This window comes from Homo sapiens, chromosome 2 (assembly GCF_000001405.40).
Source record: "Homo sapiens chromosome 2, GRCh38.p14 Primary Assembly".
Classification (NCBI taxonomy): domain Eukaryota; kingdom Metazoa; phylum Chordata; class Mammalia; order Primates; family Hominidae; genus Homo; species Homo sapiens.
In genome coordinates this window covers 161,845,924-161,866,771 of record NC_000002.12, presented here as the reverse complement: position 1 = coordinate 161,866,771, position 20,848 = coordinate 161,845,924, and the positions used below count along the sequence as shown (strand labels likewise).

Genomic DNA, 20,848 nt, shown 5'->3' with positions numbered 1-20,848 from the left:
ATACTGATAAAATTTGTCTTCTAGATCCCTTAAAAGTTTTATTTTTAGTTTTAGAAAATCTTCCTAATTCAAATAATTATTTTAATATTTTCGATACATTTATTTTGAGTGCTTTACCACCCATACCCTTTTCAGGGTACTAATGTCAAAGTAGATATTATTTTTCTATTATTTTTGCTGTTGTTTTGCCAAATGTAACTGTCACTTTTTATTGAAACATCAGAATCAGACATTTAATTCTCACAGTTTTGATGCTTAATGAAAAGTGAAAGTTAAACACAGCATGGTGGCATTAAAAATGCATGGTGAATCCATAGCATCCTTCACATTAGCCCTGAAGAGAATGCGGAATACGAAGAAAAAAATTATTCAAACGAGTGAACTAGTGTGTTTAGAGATGAGATTGACAAATTATCACAAATCACTAAAAAAGGAATGGACAAAGAATGGTAGACTTGGGAAGGAGAAGAGCAAGGAAATGCACTATTTTATTAATCTAATCTTTAAAATGGGGAAGACCCCGTTTGAAATACAGTGTCTGAATGTTTAACCCCGGAGAGTACTAACAAGGTAACATGCTCAAGACACAAGTCAATTAAGGAAGTATAAACTTTATTCTATATGACTCTTTCAGGTTTATCTACATAAGCTTCAATTTGTTTTTGAGATAATTTTAGCACATTAAACAAGAAACGGGGACTTATTTCTACCACTATGCTTAGGGAGGAAAATGTGTTCTGTTTTAAAGTTTCTGGAAAAATCTTTGCTCTATTTAATTTCTATTCTATAATCTTTTTTTTAAAAAAGTCAATCTTTTTGCATAATGGATTTTACTAAGGAGATTTTTAAAAATTAATAGTATTACCTTTACTTTTTTGATGTTTTGAAATCCTTTTGCATCTCTCTGAACTATTGCACAAAAATTTAAATCTTGATTGCATATTTAAAACAGAATTTCCAATTTACATTTACGGCTATTAATTTCAATTTGTTTATATATCTAGAGTTTGTCAGGCTTTAGAGTTCATAAGTAGATTAAGAACCTTAGCAGTAAAGGTCTTTTGTACTTTTTTTCACTTTTGGGTAGGAGATTTACTTCTAAATTGGTGAAGTCTATACATATTTTCAGAATTCTCAACACACATAATTATGCAAAGTGTGTGAGGAAGCAAAACAGAGTCATAAGGAGGTGTTATAAGCTTAGGCTTAGAAAACCACTTCTGACAGCATACTCTACAACAATACTTAATTGGGTATATGAATCTTATTAGAAATGTTTCCAAGTTTTTATTGCCCTTACGTATGCCTCGAAAAGATTTGTATGTGTTCAGATAAAGGCTGATTGTACAGATGGTGACAGAATCACTTTAGAACCACTCAGATTCTGATTTTTGGGAAAACTAAACCATTTCCTAAATAAGACAAAAAGCAGGCTCTCAGAAAACCTTGTGACTATATGTAGATTTGTGATTCACAGTTATAATTCTAACATCTCTTCTAATGTTTAATAGAAGTTTAAAGCAGTAACAAACAGTGTGCCTAGATCTGCATATTACAATAAATCATTGCTCCAATAAATTCTGTAGTCTCTTGCCTGAAAAAAAAATGCAATGAAATTATTGTTATAGTAAACATTATCTCCAATGAAATTTAAGGTATAAATTTTAACTAGTTCAAAATGCAAGATCCTTGCCTCTTTGAAGAAACATACCTCTTTCTTAAAGACATATATCTTATCTGATTTCTAGCAAAAGTTATGAAGGTAAAAGTTCATTTTTATAAAATCTGCATGCATTCTTAGGAAGTTAATTCTAATAAAGTTTTTGGAATCATGTAGACATAATCCCATAGCCAAAATTAGTAAATAACTGAGTCTATTTTAACACTACCATACCAAATAAATACTAGCATTATAAGCATAACAAAAGCACTGCATTTGTAATACATCTCTTAGAATATAAAAGCCTCAAGTTTTGTTATCTTATGTATCACATATTTTAAAGCAAATTGTGATTTAGAATATAAATATGTTTTAAATATATGATTTGATTCAAAGCAAGTTATATCTCCTCAGAATGTTCAGTGGAATCTACAAACACAAGTTGGTATTCACCATAAAGTATTCATAATAATTTTATTGAACTTAAGTGTGCACATCTATAGACTCTTGTATGTAACAAAAATGACTTATATTCAGTCATTGAAAAGCCCTAAAAATCAACTATCTCAAAAATGATTTTGTCATTAAGAACTGGTTCTACATTCTGAGACAAAATTACATCTAATCATCTTTATCTATTTAATAAAGCATTTACCCTATATTTTTATGTATATTTGATACAGTAGCATGAAAACTGATTAATATGAAGCAAATCTGAAGAAAACTAATTTTCATACATTTTATTTAAGGCATCTCTGAAGCTTTTGAAAATAAGGGTGAGATTACATGATATTTCACGCTGTCATTACATGTGCTTTCATCCATTCGTGGAAATCAGTCTTTCCAGTAAAGCATTTGAAAATACTTTTCATTAATTTTTATCTTTTAGAACTGGAAACTTTTTTTTTTTGAGACAGAGTCTAGCTGTGTAGCCCAGGCTGGAGTGCAGTGGCGCGATCTCGGCTCACTGCAATCTCCGCCACCCAGGTTCACACCATTCTCCTGCCTCAGTCTCCCGAGTAGCTGGGACTACAGGCACCCACTACCACGCCCGGCTAATTTTTCTGTATTTTTAGTAGAGACGGGGTTTCACCGTGTTAGCCAGGATGGTCACGATCTCCTGACCTCTTGATCCGCCCGCCTCGGCCTCCCAAAGTGCTGGGATTACAGGAGTGAGCCACTGCGCCCGGCCTAGAACTGGAAACTTTTAAAGCCTACAGAAGTTTAACAAATTCATATCATCTTCATGGTAACTTCATTTTCTCTCATGAGACTAATAGAAAGGATGGATGATAACAGGAGATTCCTAAGCAACTTCCTTATTGCAAATGATGAGGGGTTAAATAAACGCAAGGAGAGAACAAAAAATACAGGAAAGACAAAATAGTCTGAAGCATAAATCATAGTAAGTTGATTGCTAGGAAACAATGGTGGTCATCTATGTTGGTTTATGAAGATAGTAAGTGGGGTGGCTCCATGGATGTTGAAGATGCTGCATTACAAACAGCAATGAGCCCTTGAACCGGAATCAGCCATAATGTATGTAAAGCCACAAACAATGCACTGGCTGGTCTTTTCAATCATTTTCTCTAATGGAATTTGTTGACTATGAGCAACATGAAACCAATATCTTTTTTCCACAAACACTAGATGATGATCATGATTCCTTTAAACTAAAAGACCATCTATGGCGTAAGTCAAAGCCCTGCATTACATTTTTAAGCTACAGGACAGAGACTAGGACCTTATTTGGTATGCCACAGATGCTCTGTTTATGTTTTCTGCAGCCAAATCTAAAAGTTTTTTTATTAAATATTAGTTTTCTTTGCATTTTTTTCCTGAACCTTTCAGGAAACTTAAGTTCTTTTCTAAAATTTTTACAACTTGATGCTTGATAATAAGAATATATACTCATGTGAAAAGAATTCTACAATAATCTGAATTTCAAAAAATCATTTTCAAATAAAACAAGTTTTAAAAGATTTAGAAGCGCTTTGATATGTCAGAGACCTATAGTAGACATAAAGAGCACAATAAATAAACATTTACCATTTTTGTCCATGGAATTTGGTTCTGACTGTTTCTTGCCAATATCAGCAAAGGAACGAACAATGGGAATCCTGTTGGTGAGTTTTTTCTGATTCTGATGATGATGCTGTTTCATCAATGCCTCATGGACCCTATGGCGTACATCTTCATTCAGCTGACCTGAGCTCACTTGTTGGTCAAGAACCATATCTGAAGAGAAAAGGCCGGAAGAAGATAAGCACAGCTTTCCTCTAGAACGTGTGCCAGCCGTGAACCACTGAGTCCAAATATGCAAGCCCTAAACAATATTATTCATCTTGAAATAGAAATAACTTCTTTAAAAAATCTCTAAGCATGCTGTTATAAATGGAAATTTATCTTCCATTGTAGAAATGTTGAATAAGAAAGATTTGGGCAAATTTTCATTATAAACCATTCTATTTAAATATATAATTCTTATGAAGTATTATTTTTCAAATGGGAATAGTTGCATTGAGAAGAAAGTTCTTTATTTATTTATTATCCACACTGATGGGAGGAATAGCTGTAGAGATAATATCAAAATTCATAATGTGTTTGAATTTGAAAATTCATAATGTGTTTGAATTCACAATTCATAACGTGTTTGAATTTGAAAATTGGTTTTATACTTATATTTTAATTTTTTTCCCATTTTCTAGTACAGACTAATTTCCTTGTTTCCCCATTAAGTGAACAAAAGTCTATCTGTGAAAATCTGATGCAAAGAGGCCTATGAAGTGATATAGTTACTGAATTTGGAGAGTAAACAATTCTGTTTCATATGGATAGAAAATCAGCCCTTTCTCAAACTTTGCTGGAAACACACTCCCTTGAGAATGTTAGATTAAAAAGATATTCTATACCTGCAAAACAAAGACTGGAAGGTGAGATTTCAGAAGTCTATAATTAAGCAGATTATTTACCATACATAGTATCAAAAATGTCAGTAAAATAGATAAGTAAAGGTATTTTAAGTTTCTTAGTGATATAAAGATCACATCAATGGATGTTTGTGTAATTAATCTGCTTTCTGATTATCAAACATTAACTCTAATTGTTTTTTAGGCATTAACATCTTATGTAAAGCAGATTACAATGAGCTGCCTTCCACTGCCTTTTTGAGTACAATAAAGGTTTCAAAGTTAGCAGAATGCTCCCTTACCAACAATGTTTTCCTTCAGTGTGAAATGGAAATGAACTAGGAGACAGATTTGGGCCACTTTATGACATTCTAGCTAGACAACTTTGCAAAGTTGAATAACCTAAGTGTCCTTATTTGTAAAATGGAGATAATAATATCTATATCATATATTGGTGCCAAGACTAATGACATAAGGCACCTGATGCACTGATTGGAATATTGAGGCTATCAGTAAATATTTCCCAGAACAAGATTTTCTTTGTAATTTTCATAATGTAGATTATGGGTTCCTGGTTTGAAATTTGTGGTGGTTTCAATATGTTCATATTTTGTGACAGCTTATCAAGTAGAGACAAAGCTGGGCTTATCAATAGCAGAAAACCCAAATTAAACTACATAAAACAATTTTATTGGCTCACATAATAGAAAGATCAAAGTTAGGTTGGCTATAATTCTGCTTCTCTGTGATTTTGTTAACTTCCTCCTCCTCTAGGGTAAGCTTTAACCTCAGGCTGATTTTCCTTATGGTCATAAGGTGGCTTCCAGCAGCAACAAGGAAATATATATTTTTGTTCATATCCAGTGAGAAATATATTGTTTTTTTGTGACTTTCTCTTAGATGAGTTATTTTTCACCTGGCCAGGAAAAATTATCCTAAGTCTAACTGACATAGCCCTGCCCATCTTGAACCAATCACTGGCAAAGGAGATGGTATTCATATGACTGACAGGCTAATCAAGAACTGCGCTTCACTCTAGAGTTAATTCTCTAAACCAGAGAAAGACAAGCTCTTTTTGTCCAGAGCCAGATAACAAATATTTTAGGCATTGTAGGCCATATGATCTCTGTCACAAATACTGAATTTTGCCTTTGTAGCAAGAAAGCAGCCACAGGCAACATGTACACAAATGAGCCTGGTTATGCTCCAATGAAACTTTTTTAAGGATGCTGAAACTTGAATTTCATATAATATTCACATCACAACATATTAACTTCTTTTTTATTATTTTTCAACCATTTAAAATATAATCACCATTCTTAGCTCAAATGCCCTACAAAATCAGGCAGTCGGCCATATGTGGCACGTGGGATATAGTGTGCTCTATCATTTTTGTGTTTACAATGGAAAGAGGTAGAAAGAATATTTGGAAGTTACCCATATTATATACCTGGAATGTTTGAAAGTCAGTCACTATAATTACCTCAAAGGTCCCTTCCAATTCTGAAAATGTGTGATACTATAGAATAATATTTAAATCTATTTTTCAGTTCTTTGGAGATCAGTAGTTATAATACCCCTGGGTTAATCTGAAATAAAGGAAATAATAAATTGTCAACGTATATGACATTACACTGAAACCTTGCTAAGATGGAAAAATGTATATAAAATATGCATATACTTCATAATGGAAGTTGTAAAGTAGGTTATTAGAATATCAATATGATATTATTGTAAAGCAGTTCCAAATATAAGCCATGATATGAATTCCCAGTTCAATATTCTAGTCAGAATCAAAAGTAATCACATAATAAACCCTACATATGTTTATGATTTTTAATTTCTATTAAAGCACAATGTTTCCAGGCTCGAACACTAAAAAAGCCATAGGTCACTATCTTCACAGTTTTTCAAAGATAAGATTTTTATTTGAAACAGTTATGTAAAGAAAAGTAAATATTAAAAAACACACTCATCTGTTCATTAGTTACAGAGAAATACACAGCAAACTTCTCCAAAGTATAACTGTATCAAATTATATCTACTTGTCTGGAAAAAATTACTCATTTTGCTTAAGAATATAATTTATACTAGGGTGACATTTAAGTACCAAAAGGAATCTGAATTAGTAATCACTTACATTGTTCTTTTCACCACTACAATACATATTAGTATTAATTTGAAAAGTGTGAAAGAATAACGGACCATAATGACGTTGGGTCCAGAGTGAAGTCCTGCAATCTCAGCAAGCTATTATGCCTACATAATACAGTCTATTCTGCCCCAGGATCTGGGTGATAAGAGAAAAGGCGCGGTGGCTCACGCCTGTAATCCCAGCACTTTGGGAGGCCGAGGCGGGCGGATCACGAGGTCAGGGGATAGAGACCATCCTGGCTAACACGGTGAAACCCCGTCACTTCTAAAAATACAAAAAATCAGCCGGGCGTGGTGGCGGGCGCCTGTAGTCCCAGCGACTCGGGAGGTTGAGGCAGGGGAATGGCGTGAACCCGGGAGGCGGAGCTTGCAGTGAGCCGAGATTGCGCCACTGCACTCCAGCCTGGGAGACAAAGCAAGACTCCGCCTCAAAAAAAAAAAAAAAAAAAAAAAAGAAAAGAAAAGAAAAGAAAAAAAGGACAAATAGGTCACACTCTGCTAACACTAAGCAGACTCTAGAAAAACTAGTAGCACTTTGAGACCACCCTGTCCAACGTGGTGAATCCCCGTCTCTACTAAAATACAAAAAAATTAGCTGGGCATGTTGCCGTGTGCCTGTAGTCCCAGGTACTCAAGAGATTGAAGTAGGAGAATTGCTTGAACCCAGGAGGCGGAGGCTGCAGTGAGCTGAGATCGCACCACTGCACTCCAGCCTGGCGACAGAGCGAGACTTCGTCTAAAAAAAAAAAAAAGAAAAGAAAAGAAAAGAAAAACTAGTAGCACTTGTGGAAAAAGGCCTCAGAAAAATGAAAAATTGTTTTTCATCCTATCAGATAACTATTTTATCATAATGTATCTTGAATGAAAGCCCCTAGAGGTTATGACATATTGCAGATTCTACATAAATCTCTGCCTTTTTGAAGATCATCATATCAATGCTTTGAAAACCCATTGTCTTAACTTTAAAAGATATTGGGAGAGGTGGGGGGGAATATGATACGAAGTTCCTAAATTCTGTGGTTTGGTTGCCAGCACTAACAGGGATGTGTGTACTAAAGATGTAAACTGTAATAGAATACTTACTTTTCAGACCAAGGATTGTCACAGTATAGGCAGGTTAAAAAATATATGGTTATTCCTATACTCCCAACTCTACAGATTACATTCAGTGGAGCAAACTGTAGATTCTTCCTTCAATGAAAGATTTTAAACAACAAAGGTTGTTTAAATGAGTTGGGAGCTATGATTGATAATCTGTCCATGGTACCAACTTTGGTTTGGTTTTAATTTCTTCCTAACTCTCATTGACAGAATTAGGTTAAAGTATACACACACTGCAGAGAGGATATTTCCATCATTAATCTTTATAATGCTTAATTTCAAAGAGATTAACATAGACCATAAAATTCCCTGTAATTTATATGAATATAATTCAGAAGCATATTCAATACAATTAATCTCCATATCAGAGTAAATTGTGGTAAGAAGATATATCTGGAGAATTTTGGATTTGAAAAGGTTAAGTAATATTTTGAAGGATAAAGTTTAAATTTATTGAGTTTCCTGAAACATTGGGAAACAGATATATTTTAAATTAACTTAGCCAAAAGAAAATCCTACTTTAATTATATCAGAAATTCTTGACAGATCTGCCAGATACAAATGGGATTTTCTGCTACTAAGTCTACAAAAATCTCTTAAGGAATTATCCGAGTCTGTTAAAAACATATCAAAACATTGATATAAAAATCCTTGATCATTACAAAACAATATCTGGGTCATATTCATCTAGTAGGAAATGTCTGAAAAACATCAATACTGTAAAGCCTGTGTATTCACAAAGTACTAGGGATTAGAACCCTTAAAGGTAAGCTCTTACACTTAGCGTTTGTAAAACTGAAACTAGTGACTAATGTATGTGAATTATGGCTAACAGAGAAAAATCATGGTAAATAAGAGCTGAGGAAAAAGTTTCAGGGCTGATTGTTAATCACTATGGCCACAAATGATCATGAAACAGAATAAAACAAAAATTATGGTTGGGCACAGTGACTCATGCCTGTAATCCTAGCACTTTGGGAAGCTGAGGCAGGTGGATCAATTGAACCCAGGAGTTCAAGACCAGCCTGGGCAACATAGGAGATCCCATCCCCAAATATTATGATTATAGGTTAATAAAAAAATTATTTTTATTTCTGCAAAGGTCATCTTTGATAAAGAACTTTCTATTTATCTGTTTATGGTGAAATAGTCTCTTTCCTACTTTATATGTTGTTATGATAATAAAACATAATTATGTGGAAATACTTTGCAAAGTTAGAAGTCTTAAAAACGGAAAGCATGCTTATTTATTACAAACTTAGTAATGCCCCTCAATTTTTATAAAATGAAAATAGGAGAAGTAAAAAATAAGAAAATAATTACAAACTATAGAGAGAAAATATTTTAATGAGTTTATATTGAGGGGATAAATAAGTAACTTTTAAATTTAGCCAAATTATAGTTTTCAATGAGAGGAAATCTCTTCTTAGTAATGACAGTAAAGGAATCTAAAGTAATAATGATCAACACAAATATTTGTAATCATATTTTTCTTTGTGATGTTAGCATTAAACCACTGACACATTCTAAATGTCATTTTACAGGCTGTTCTACACTGAAAAATGGGACATTCAGGTTGGGCTACTTCAAAGTCAGAAAGATACACACTAATTAGAAGAGCAGAAAGAATACTAAAAAGCTATTTAGGGTATCAAGACGTCAACTGAACTACTTTCACTGTAAGGGTAGACTTAGAGAATGTAATTTGCTTGAAAAGGCTAGATTTAACCCAGTTAACCTTCACATATTCTACAGAATTGAGCTTGGGAAACAGGGACAGAGTTAGGAAAAATTTGCATAATTTTGGACAATGAAAGTGAACTAAAGTGATAAAATGAAGTGTTTTAGTCAAATTACTGGGAGAAAATTTCTTCATAGGAATAACTTTCTGAGGAAAGCATTAGAAATTACATAATTTAAGAAATGTGAAGACTGGTAAAAGTATAAAGGGTATGTTCTGAGGCTAATTTTGCCAGGTGGTAGAATGTGACAGTTTTGTTTCCCATTTCAAAATGTATTTGGATTAATCTATTTTTAAAGGTAGCGCCATCATCGATTTAAGCGGCAGAAATAAACGCCTTAGAGCAAGGCCTTTAACCTTTTAAATCTTAGTTTTTTTCTTTATTAAATAAGGATAACAATAATAATACTAAGAACCAGGTTTGAGCATTAAAAAGATAATTACAAACTTAAGAGCTTCCCATACTTGAAAGTACTGTGAAAAGCCTGCTGTTTCATTCCTAATTAAAATATAAAAATGTTTATTGGGTATTAGCAAGACCATATAATGTAAAGCTAAGAAATTGAGCTGGATAGCTAACTATTTCAGCATTCTTAGGGAGTTTGCTTATTTCTGAGTTAATCATTTTCTCTATTTTCTCTTGATTTAGTGCAGCTACAGTAGCCTGGATATTTCTGAAAATTATACATTTATGTTTAACTTTATAAAGTCTTTCAGGCTCTAGCTATGTAACTTAAAGAATAATCTCTTTATAGGTGTTACATGAAACAGAAGAGGACCGCTTATCTTTCCTATTTGGGGCAGTGTGGTGTGTGTGTGTGTGTGTGTGTGTGTGTGTGTGTGTGTGTTTTAGTATTTTTGGAGTTTTTGCTTAATATTTCAAGCCAAAGTATCTTTCAGTACTTACTTTTCTTTTCACACATACTGCAGTGCCTATCAGCACCAATGACTAAATCAATAATTTTTAAGGTGATAAATGTGCCATCAAAATTTGGGTGACATTCACTTCAAGACATTTCTTTTTCTTCAGACAGCAGTTGTAGTGTAATAGAAAAAACACTAGGCTTAAAGTCAGGGGCCCTTGGGTGAAATCTAGGCCATGACAATTTTAGAGTTTCTATTTTGTGATTGGAAAATGAGAATGACATCTACTTCATGGGGCTGTTCTGCAGATTAAAGTAGATATGTTATTTTTCTAATATATTATTTTCATATACATGATTAAAAACACACATATAGTTTTTCATCTCTACAATATGATTAAGATATTAAGTTTTTTCACTTCACAAATACAAATCATATGGAATGAATTTTATTTTTTCCCAAACTAATAACTTTTCAACTGCCTCTTTTCTTTGTTTGTGTTTTTAAAACCTCCATCAATTATTTCATTTATACTCTTTCAAAATTCATTTCTGTCTTTTTGTATTATTTTGTTTTTACTAAAATATGTTTGCCTTCTGGTCAAAAGATACAGGAGTTCTTTGACTCAATTTCTGTAATAATAACATTTCCTAAATATACCTGTCTGTATTATAAGATATCATTGAATTATAATACTAATCATTCATCAGTTTATAGTATTGAATTACAAAACGAATCCTAACTGTATCACTTGGCTTCCTCTGGAATTCAAGGGTTTTAATTAAGTTTAAAATGAATGGCCGTACCTTTCTGTGTCCATTCTAAACCAACATTTTTCTGTATATTGAAATTTTTTCATTTGGTTATTTCATATGTTTGAATATTGAAAATAAGTATCTAGCTCTAAGGTTTTTTCCTTTAATTTTCTAATGGTGAGAGTCTAAATATGATAATGAAAATAAATGGTGAATGGGAATCAAGATATCTAGGTTCTTGTCCTAGACTTGGCACTGCCAAACTAGAGCATATTTCTCTGAGATTCAACTTCTTTTATCTCAAATAACAGGGTAAAAGAAAATGACTTTTAAGACCTTATGCAGTGATTATGAGAATTAGTTTTCCAAAGTTCATACGTATATTGAATTATAAGGAAAAGAGAGTAACAAAAAATTAGCTGTACCTATAAAATACACTAAGGGGGAAAAGATATACCTGCAATTTCTTCTAAAGTGTTGGCATGCATGTCCAGCAACACAGTTCCATTCAGAATACAACTTCTCAATTCAAACAAGCTGTGCAATGAAAGAGTAGCCACATAAGGCTTGCTCCACCTTTCTCCTCCATCTTCCACATCTTCTTCAAACTTCAACCACCTATACAAACAAATATTATCAGCACAGTTTATATTATATTGTAGGTTAATGATCCTTTATACCAAAAATAAAAGGTTGAAATAGAAAAATAGTCATATTGTGTCTTGGTTCATAGGTTTTGGAAGTATATAAAAGCTAGTCTAAGCCATTTGGCTTATTTCATTTTAATTCCATTTAACTCATATTCTTTTTGCAATTAAAAAATAATTGAAAAAAAGGAAAACTCATGTTATTTTGTTAACTTGTCTAACTCTGAAGAAATATTTAAATATAATTGTTTAACCAGTGGTCAGAGAAAATCTTATGTAGCACTAATAAAGAGTGTATACTTCATGGAAAGTTAATGGTAATTGAAAAAGAAAATGAAAGAATACTTATTTTTCCTTAGTGGGAGGTCTTAAACCTGAATATTTTAGTCTCTTGGTAATTTTCTTATAAGATCTTGAGGGAGGCTAGCATAATTAGGGGCCTGTTGCATAGGAAAAATCCTTGTTAGGCTTGCTTGGATGAAAGCTAGTGATAGCAGTCACTTCCTAGGGACTGAATATGTGAGAATTGAGCTCAGACCCCATCCCTGGGTGTTTCTGCCAGGATGGATAATCAGAGAAGAACCTTGATGTCATGATGTCAAATGGGGGACCACTGTCTTCTTGGACTGAAATGAATAGTAATACCTAGATTGTCTATAAGCAAGATAAATGGAACAGATAAAGAGAAACCAGTGATTTTATTGCTCTGGCACAAGCCACTTAATTCTTATCCGTTTAGGAATTTGGTCTCTAATCCTAATAGATGACCAATTTAGTTTCACCATTTCTAATGAACCTTAGCCTAAATCTTCTTGCCTACCTCCATCTCCACCATTTCCCTCATTCCTTTTCTCCTTAGTCATTTTTGACCCCAATTTCTCTCTCCAAGCAATATCATTCAAATCCTCTATATTATATTATCTTACTATTTTGTGTAATAAAATGATCCACCTTCAACACACAACAAATATGTGGGAGTAACTAGTTAGGGAATCAAGTGGATTAGCCAAAAGTAACTAACCAAAAGAGACAGTCAGAATGATTAATGTGCAGAGTAGTAAGAGAGATCAGGAAAGCTATGGATCTGTTTTTAGTGTTTAGGAAGCAAAAAGAAAAAAAAATGTCAGAAAGTGAAAAGGAAGCCAATAGAAAAGAATACTTATACCTGCCAAAATTTACAATCAGGTAAGAATAGATATGCCATATTGAAAAAACTTACATTTAAGCCACAAATCACCAACAGTATATCTCTTCAAGGCTGGGAATTTTATAGAACATTTTTGTCTACACAGAAAGTTTTCATATTAGTTATTCCTAAAGTTTTTCAGTCCTAAACAGGGCCATAATACCTCATAGATCATGTGATGGTCATATCATGTCATAACTGGTTCTCCCTCTCTTCCTAGGAAAGTGTAGAACATCACTACCTGGCTCCCTTTTAATTGGGTGAGTCCATGTGTCTGTGATTAAATCTGGAAATGAGGTGGGAACAGAAATTATGTGTGTGTCACTTTCAGACTGGAGTATTTAATTGGCAAGAGGATATCCTCTGGAGCTCATCCTTTCCTTGACATGCAACAAGCAAAGTTCAAGGTGAAGACTGATCTATCAGCTGAGGTTTCTAAGTCACTATTTAATACAATGAACAGATGAGCAAAACCCCAATGATTCATGATGGACATGAATTGTGAGCCATAAATAAATGGGTTTAAGCCACTGAGATTGCAGGGTATTTTTTATAGCATAATTTAGCCTATCCCAACTGACATAGATCACCATTTTCGTTAATCATATCAGCATAAAAATCCTAATCAGAATTAATGGTGAAAGTAAATATGATTTTAATAAATATAAATTACTATTTCTTGTCAGATATGAGAATAAGGCCATAGTCACATTATGATTTCAATATCACAAAGGAACAACCTCTTGGCAGACATTTTAATGGAATAGTATTACATAAAGTGTCTTCAACTAGTTGAGAATAAAAAGACATTTATATTTTTTCTATACAGCTAAACCACCATGTAATAAAAGGAAAGTCTTTTAACTTCTCTGGGTCAGTTTTCTCACAGGTAAAATGATGAGACAAATTAAACACATTAAATAATTTTCCAAAGATCACCTAGCCAGTGACCTTGTCAAGCCAGGATCCAACTCTAAGTTTTTTTTAAAATTTTGTTTTTCTCCAGAGCCTGTGCCCATTTCCCACCATAATATAGTAATTTGAATTGAATTTATAGTCCTTTTCAGTTCAAAGATCTTATGCTAATGCTTATAGCAGAAACAACTGATTTAACATTTAATTTTCATCCATGTCTGGAGCCAATCTTAAGTTGCAAAATGTTCTTTGTTCTCACTTTTTCTTTTATATTATTCCAATTTGTTTTCTTTATTGCCTACTGTGCTAGATAAAAATAGATGGTTTTCCTTTGTGAATAAGACTCAAACATACTATTCTGTGGAAGGGCTATAATGAAACTTTCCATAAGGAAGTGGCATCAGGGGAGTGGATACAACTTTTATTAAATCTTCTAATTAAATTATAATCTACTGACATATGCTGTGGATTTCAGATAAAAAGAGCAAAAGGAAGGGAGACTATATAATAGCATGTATGCTGGTGTTATTTTGACTGAAGAACTTTGTTAAATTGGAAATTTACTTTCTAGTCTATTTGGTGGTAAAGAAAACCTAGAGTTTTAAAAGGGTGTAATGCTATTTAAGGAAATACAGGTTTTTCTCTATGGAAAATGTCCTCAATTAAGGTTTCTAGAACTATGGTACTTTCTGTCATCCCTGTTTATACAATTGATTCTAAAATGTTGTAACAGTGAGGCGATGGGTAACAGTGAGATGACGTCTCTGCAAGAAATAAAAAATGTTAACCAGGTGTAGAGGTGAATGCCTGTAGCCCCAGCTGCTCAGAAGGCTAAGATGGCAGGATTGCTTGAGCCCAGGAGATCGAGGCTGGAGTGAGCCATGATAACGCCACTGCACTCTAGCCTGGCTGATAGAGTGAGATCCTGCCTCAAAAGAACAAATAAATAAACTGAATTAAATGTAATCTCCAAAAATTATACTCAAGTACAAAATCCTGAAAAGTCTTCGTACATTACTAAAAAATCATATTGTTTCTTAACTACTTAAGTGTAACTCTATAAACTTACCCATACAATAATATTGTTTGTAAGCTGTAATAACATTAATAACAAATTCACTTTTAAAATACTCCTGGGCCTCTTGATCTATATAGAATGATAAAACCCTTTCTTATAATAAAATTTATAGTTAAAATTTACTTCTGGATAACAGTGAAGATGACTAAATAAGTGACAAAGCATCTAAATCATTTCATCTTGGCTCCTTTGAAAGTAAAATTTTAAATTTTAAGAATGCTAAAAAGGGGTTGCTGTTTTTATTTCAGAAAAGAATGACTTTAAACCAAAAACATTCAGAAAGTAAAAAGAAGAGGATTACATAAAAATAAAGTGTTCAATTAAACAAGAAGACTTAACTATCCTAAATATATATGCACCCAATACTGGAACACCCAGATTCATAAAACAAGTTCTTAGAGACTTAGGAAGAGACTTAGATAATGGCAATATAATCATGGAAGACTTCAACACCCTACTGATGGCATTGGACAGATCACTGAGGCAGAATACTAACAAGAGATATTTGGGACCTAAACTTAACACTTGACCAAATGAACCTAACAGACATCTACAGAACACTCCACCCAACAAAAACAGAATATACATTCTTTTCATCTGCAGATGGCACATATTCTAAAATTGACCACATACTTAGCCATAAAGCAATTCTCAACAAATTTTACAAAACCAAAATCATACCAAACATGCTCTCAGAACACAATGCAGTAAAAATATAAATCAATATCAAGAAGATCTCTCAAAAGCATACAATTACATGGAAACTAAACAACCTACTCCTGAATGATTTGGGTAAACAATGAAGTAACTGTAGAAACCGAGAAATTCCTTGAAACTAATGAAAACAAAGATACAACATACTAGAATCTCTGGGACAGGGCAAAAGCAGTGTTGAGAGGAAAGTTTATACTGCTAAATGTCGACATAAAAAAGAAAAACTTACAACTTAAGTTAACAACCTAACATTACACTTGAAGGAATTTGAAAAACAAAAGCCAACCAATCCCAAATATAACAGAAGAAAAGAAATAACCAAAATATAGCTGAACAGAATAAAATGGAGATGAGAAAAATCACACAAAAGATCAACAAAACCAAGACTTGGCTCTTTGAAAGAATAAATAACATTGATATACTATTAGCTATACTAATTTTTTAAAAGGGAGAAGATAAAGATAAACACAATCAGAAAACAAAGGAGACATTACTACTAACCCGACAGAAATACAAAAACCCTAAGAGACTATTATGAACACCTCTGTGCTCACAAACTAGAAAAGCTAGAAGAAATGGATAAATTCCTGGGAATATTCAACTGCCCAAGATTAAACCAGAAATAAATTATTTTTATTTTATTTTATTTTATTTTTTTGAGACAGAGTCTTGCTCTGTCACCCAGACTGGAGTGCAGTGGCACAATCTTGACTCACTGCAACCTCTGTTCCTGCACTCAAGTGATTCTCCTGCCTCACATCACAAGTAGCTGGGACTACAGGTGCACACCACTGTGTCTAGCTAATTTTTTTGTATTTTTAGTAGAGACAGGGTTTTGCCATTTTGGCCAAGCTGGTCTCAAATGTCTGGGCTCAAGTGATCCACCCACCTCAACCTCCCAAAGTGCTGGAATTAGAGGTGTGAGCCGTGTACCTGGCCTAACCAGAAAGAAATTGAAACCATGAACACACCAATAATGAGTTCCAAACTTGAATCAGTAATAAAAAAAACCTATCAACCAGAAAAAAGCCTTGGATCAGATGGAGTCACAGCCAAATTCTACCAGATGTGTAAAGAAGAACGGATACTGAAACTATTCCAAAAAACAAGGAGGAGGGGCTCCTGTCCAATTCATTCTATGAGGCCAGCATCATTCTCATACTAAAACCAGGCAGATTCACAACAAAAATCTTCAGACCAATACCCCTGATAAACATAGATGCAAAAATCCTCCACAAAATACTAGCAAACCAAATCCAGCAGCACATCAAAAAGCTAATCCACCATGATCAAATAGGCTTTATTCCTGGGAGGCAAGTTTGGTTCAACATATGCAAATCAATAAATGTTATTTATTACATAAACAGAACTAAAAACAAAAACCACATGATCATCTCAGAAGATGCAGAAAAGGCTTTTGATAAAATTAAACATCCCCTCATGTTTGAAACCCGCAAAAAACTAGGCATTGAAGGTGTACACCACAAAATAATAAGTGTTATCTACAACAAACCTACAGCCAACATCATACTGAATGGGCAAAAGCTGAAAGCATTCTCCTTGAAAACTGGTACAAGACAAGGATGCCCACTCTCACCATTCTTATTCAACATAAGTCCTGGAAGTCCTAACCAGAGAAGCAGAAAAGAATAAAAAATAAAAGCCATCCAGATAGAGAAAGAGGAAGTCAAATCATCTCTCTTCGCAAATGATATGATACTATACCTAGGAAAACCATAATCTCTGCTTGAGGCTCCTAGATCTGCTAAACAACTTCAGCAAAGTTTTAAGATACAAAAATCAATATGCAAATGGTATATGTTTATATACACCAATAACATTCAAGCTGAGAGCTAAATCAAGAATGCAATCCCATTCACAATAGCCATGAAAATCATAAAATACCTAGGAATACAACTAAACAGGGACGTAAAAGATCTCTGCAACGAGAATTACAAGACACTGCTGAAATAAATCAGAGATGACACAAACAAATGGAAAAACATTCCATGCTCATGGATAGGAAAAAAATCAAAATTAAAATGGCATACTGCCCAAAGCAATTTACAGATTCAGTGCTATTCCTATCAACCTACCAATAACATTTTTACAAAATTAGAAAAAAGTGCACATTTTTCAAAATTAGAAAAAAATTCTAAAATTCATATGGAACCAAAAAAGATCCCAAATAGCCAAAGTGATCCTGAACAAAAAGAATGAAGCTGGAGGCATCACACTACCTGACTTCAAACTATACTACAAGGCTACAGTAACCAAAACAGCATGGTATCAGTATAAAAACAGACACATAGACCAATGGAACAGGTTAAAGGACCCAGAAATAGAGCCACATATGTAGAACCATCTGATCTTCAACAAAGCCAATAAAAATAAGCAATGAGGAAAGGACTCCCTACTCAATAAATGCTGCTGGGATAACTGGCTAGCCATATGCAGAAGATTGAAACGGGACCCCTACATTTCACCATATACAAAAGTCAACTCAAGATGAATTAAAGACTTAAATGTAAGGCCAAAAACACTATAAAAACTCTAGAAGAAAATCCAGGAAATACCATTCTGGACATCAGCCAAAGAAAAGACTTCATGATGAAGATGCCAAAAGCAATTGCAACAAAAACAAAAATTGACAAGTGGAATTTAATTGACCTAAAGAGCTTTTGCACAGTAAAAGAAACTATCAACAGAGTAAACAACCTACAGAGTAGGAGAAAATGTTTGCAAACTATGCATCTGACTAAGGTTTAATATCCAGAATCTTTAAGGAACTCAAATAAATCAACAAGCAAAAAACAAACAACCCTATTTAAAAAGTGGGCAAAAGATATTAACAGACACTTCTCAAAAGAAGACATACTAATACAAGTAGCAACAAGCATATGAAAAAATGCTCAGTATCACTAATCATTACAGAAATCTAAACCAAAACTACAATGAGTTACCATCACACACCAGTCAGAATGGCTATTACTAAAAAGTCAAAAAATAACAGAAGCTGGTGAGGTTGCAGAGGAAGGGGAATGCTTATACATTGCTGGTGGGAATGTAAATTAGTTCAGCCACTGTGGAAAGCAGTCTGGACATTTCTCAAAGAACTTAAAACAGAACTATCATTCATCCCAGCAATCCTATTACTCAGTATATAACCAATGGAATATAAATCGTTCTACCATAGAGACACATGCACATGTATGTTCATTGCAGCACTATTCACAATAGCAAAGACATGGAATCAACCTATGTGCCTACCAGTGGTGGACTGTATAAAGAAAATGTAGTACATATACACCATGCAATAATATGCAGCTATAAAAAATGAGATAATGGCCTTTGCAGCAACATGAATAGAGCTAGAGGCCATTATCCTAAGTGAACTAATGCAGGAACAGAAAACTAAATACTGCAAGTTCTTACAAGTGGGAGCTAAACATTCATACACATGGACTACAAAGAAGGGAACAACAGACACTGAGGCCTAGTTGAGGGTGGAGAGTGGGATGATCGAAAACTACCTATTCGGTGACAAAAAATATCTATCAGGTAAGGTGGAGGAATGGGAGGATTGAAAAACTACCTAACAGCTGACAAAATTATCTGTACACCAAACCTGTAACACACAATTTACCCATGAAACAACCCTGCACATATACCCCTTGAACCTAAAATAAAAGTTGGAAAGAAAAAAAAAAAGAATACTGATAAGATTTGGGCTCTGTGTGTTGCTGTGTGTGTGTGTGTGTATGTGTGTGTGTGTGCAGTTCTATGCATTAAAAAAAACTTTTTTGAGACATAGTCTCACTCTGTCATCCAGACTGGAGTGCTGTGGTGCAATCACAGCTCACTGCAGCCACAACCTCCTGGGTTCAGATGATCCTTCCACCTCAGCCTTCCAAGTAGCTGGGACTACATAGCCAGGTACTATGTCTGGCTTTTTTTTTTTTGTATTTTTTTAATAGAGATGGGGGTCTCACTATGTTACCCAGGCTGGTCTTGAACTCCTGGCCTCAAGTAATCCTCCTGCCTTAGCTGACCACCCAAAGTGCTGGGATTACAGGCATGAGCCACCATGCCCTGCCTCCATTCTATGCATTTTTATCCCATGTATAGATAGATGTAACCTCTACCACAATCAACATACGAAGCTGTTCCATCACCACAAAAGAAATCCCTTGTGCTGCACCTTTATATTCTCAATCCTCACTCTATTTCTGTCCCCTGGAAACCACTAATCTATTCTTCATCACCATACTTTTGTTATTTTGACGGTGTTATATAAATGGAATCATATAGTTTGCAACCTTTTGAGATTGACACTTTTTTACTAAGCATAATGCCCTTGATATACATTCAAGTTATTGTGTGTATCAGTAGTTTGTTCCTTTTTATTGCAGAGTAATATTCCATTATAAAGATGGATGTATCAGTTTGTTTAATCAGTCACCCATGGGGGACATTCAGGTTGTTTGCAGGTTTTGCCATTACAAATAAATTTGCTGTGAACACTCATGCAGAGGTCTTTGTGTGAACATGTTTTCATTACTCTGGGATAAATGCCCAAGAGTCCAATTGCTGGATCATATAGTAAATGCATGTTTAGTTTTATCAGAAACTGTCAAACTGTTTTCCATAAGTGGCTCTACCATTTTACATTCACACCAGCAATGTATGAAAGATCTAGTTTTTTCAAATCCTCACCAACATTTGTTATTATGACTATTTTTTCATTTTTACTATTCTATTAGGTATGCAGTAATATCTCAGAGCAGTTCTAATTTGCATTTTCCTGATGACTAATGATATTGAACATTTTTCCATGTGCTATTCGCCATATGTATCTCTTCTTTGGTGAAATGTCTGTTTGTGCCTTTTGCCCACTTTTCTAGTTGATTTATTTTCATACTGTTGAACTTTGAGAGTTCTTTATATGTTCTACATATAACACTTTTGTTGAATATCTGGTTTACAAATACTTTCTGTCTGTAGCTTGCCTTTTCATCCACTTAACAGAATCTTTCACAGCACAAACATTTTAATTTTGGTAAAGTTCAATCTATAAATATTTCCTTTTACGAATTGCGCTTTTGGTGTTATGTCTAAAAACTT

General features: G+C 33.8%; 1 protein-coding gene across 26 annotated transcripts in view; it reads right to left on the bottom strand.

Annotated features, from left to right (window-relative positions):
* Window positions 1–20,848, bottom strand: part of SLC4A10 (solute carrier family 4 member 10) — a 360,855-nt gene that overhangs the window by 118,499 nt on the left and 221,508 nt on the right. For 24 of the 26 annotated variants that reach the window (NM_001354461.2, NM_001354447.2, NM_001354441.2 and 21 more), the window contains 2 exons: window positions 11,642–11,802; window positions 3,710–3,898 (listed from right to left, as the gene is read on the bottom strand). In NM_001354461.2, coding sequence (NP_001341390.1) covers window positions 3,710–3,898; window positions 11,642–11,802 — 350 coding nt within the window. Of the gene's footprint in view, window positions 1–3,709; window positions 3,899–6,052; window positions 6,159–11,641; window positions 11,803–20,848 lie in introns of those variants that run through there. The other 2 variants (NM_001354455.2, XM_017004551.2) reach the window with 2 other exon arrangements.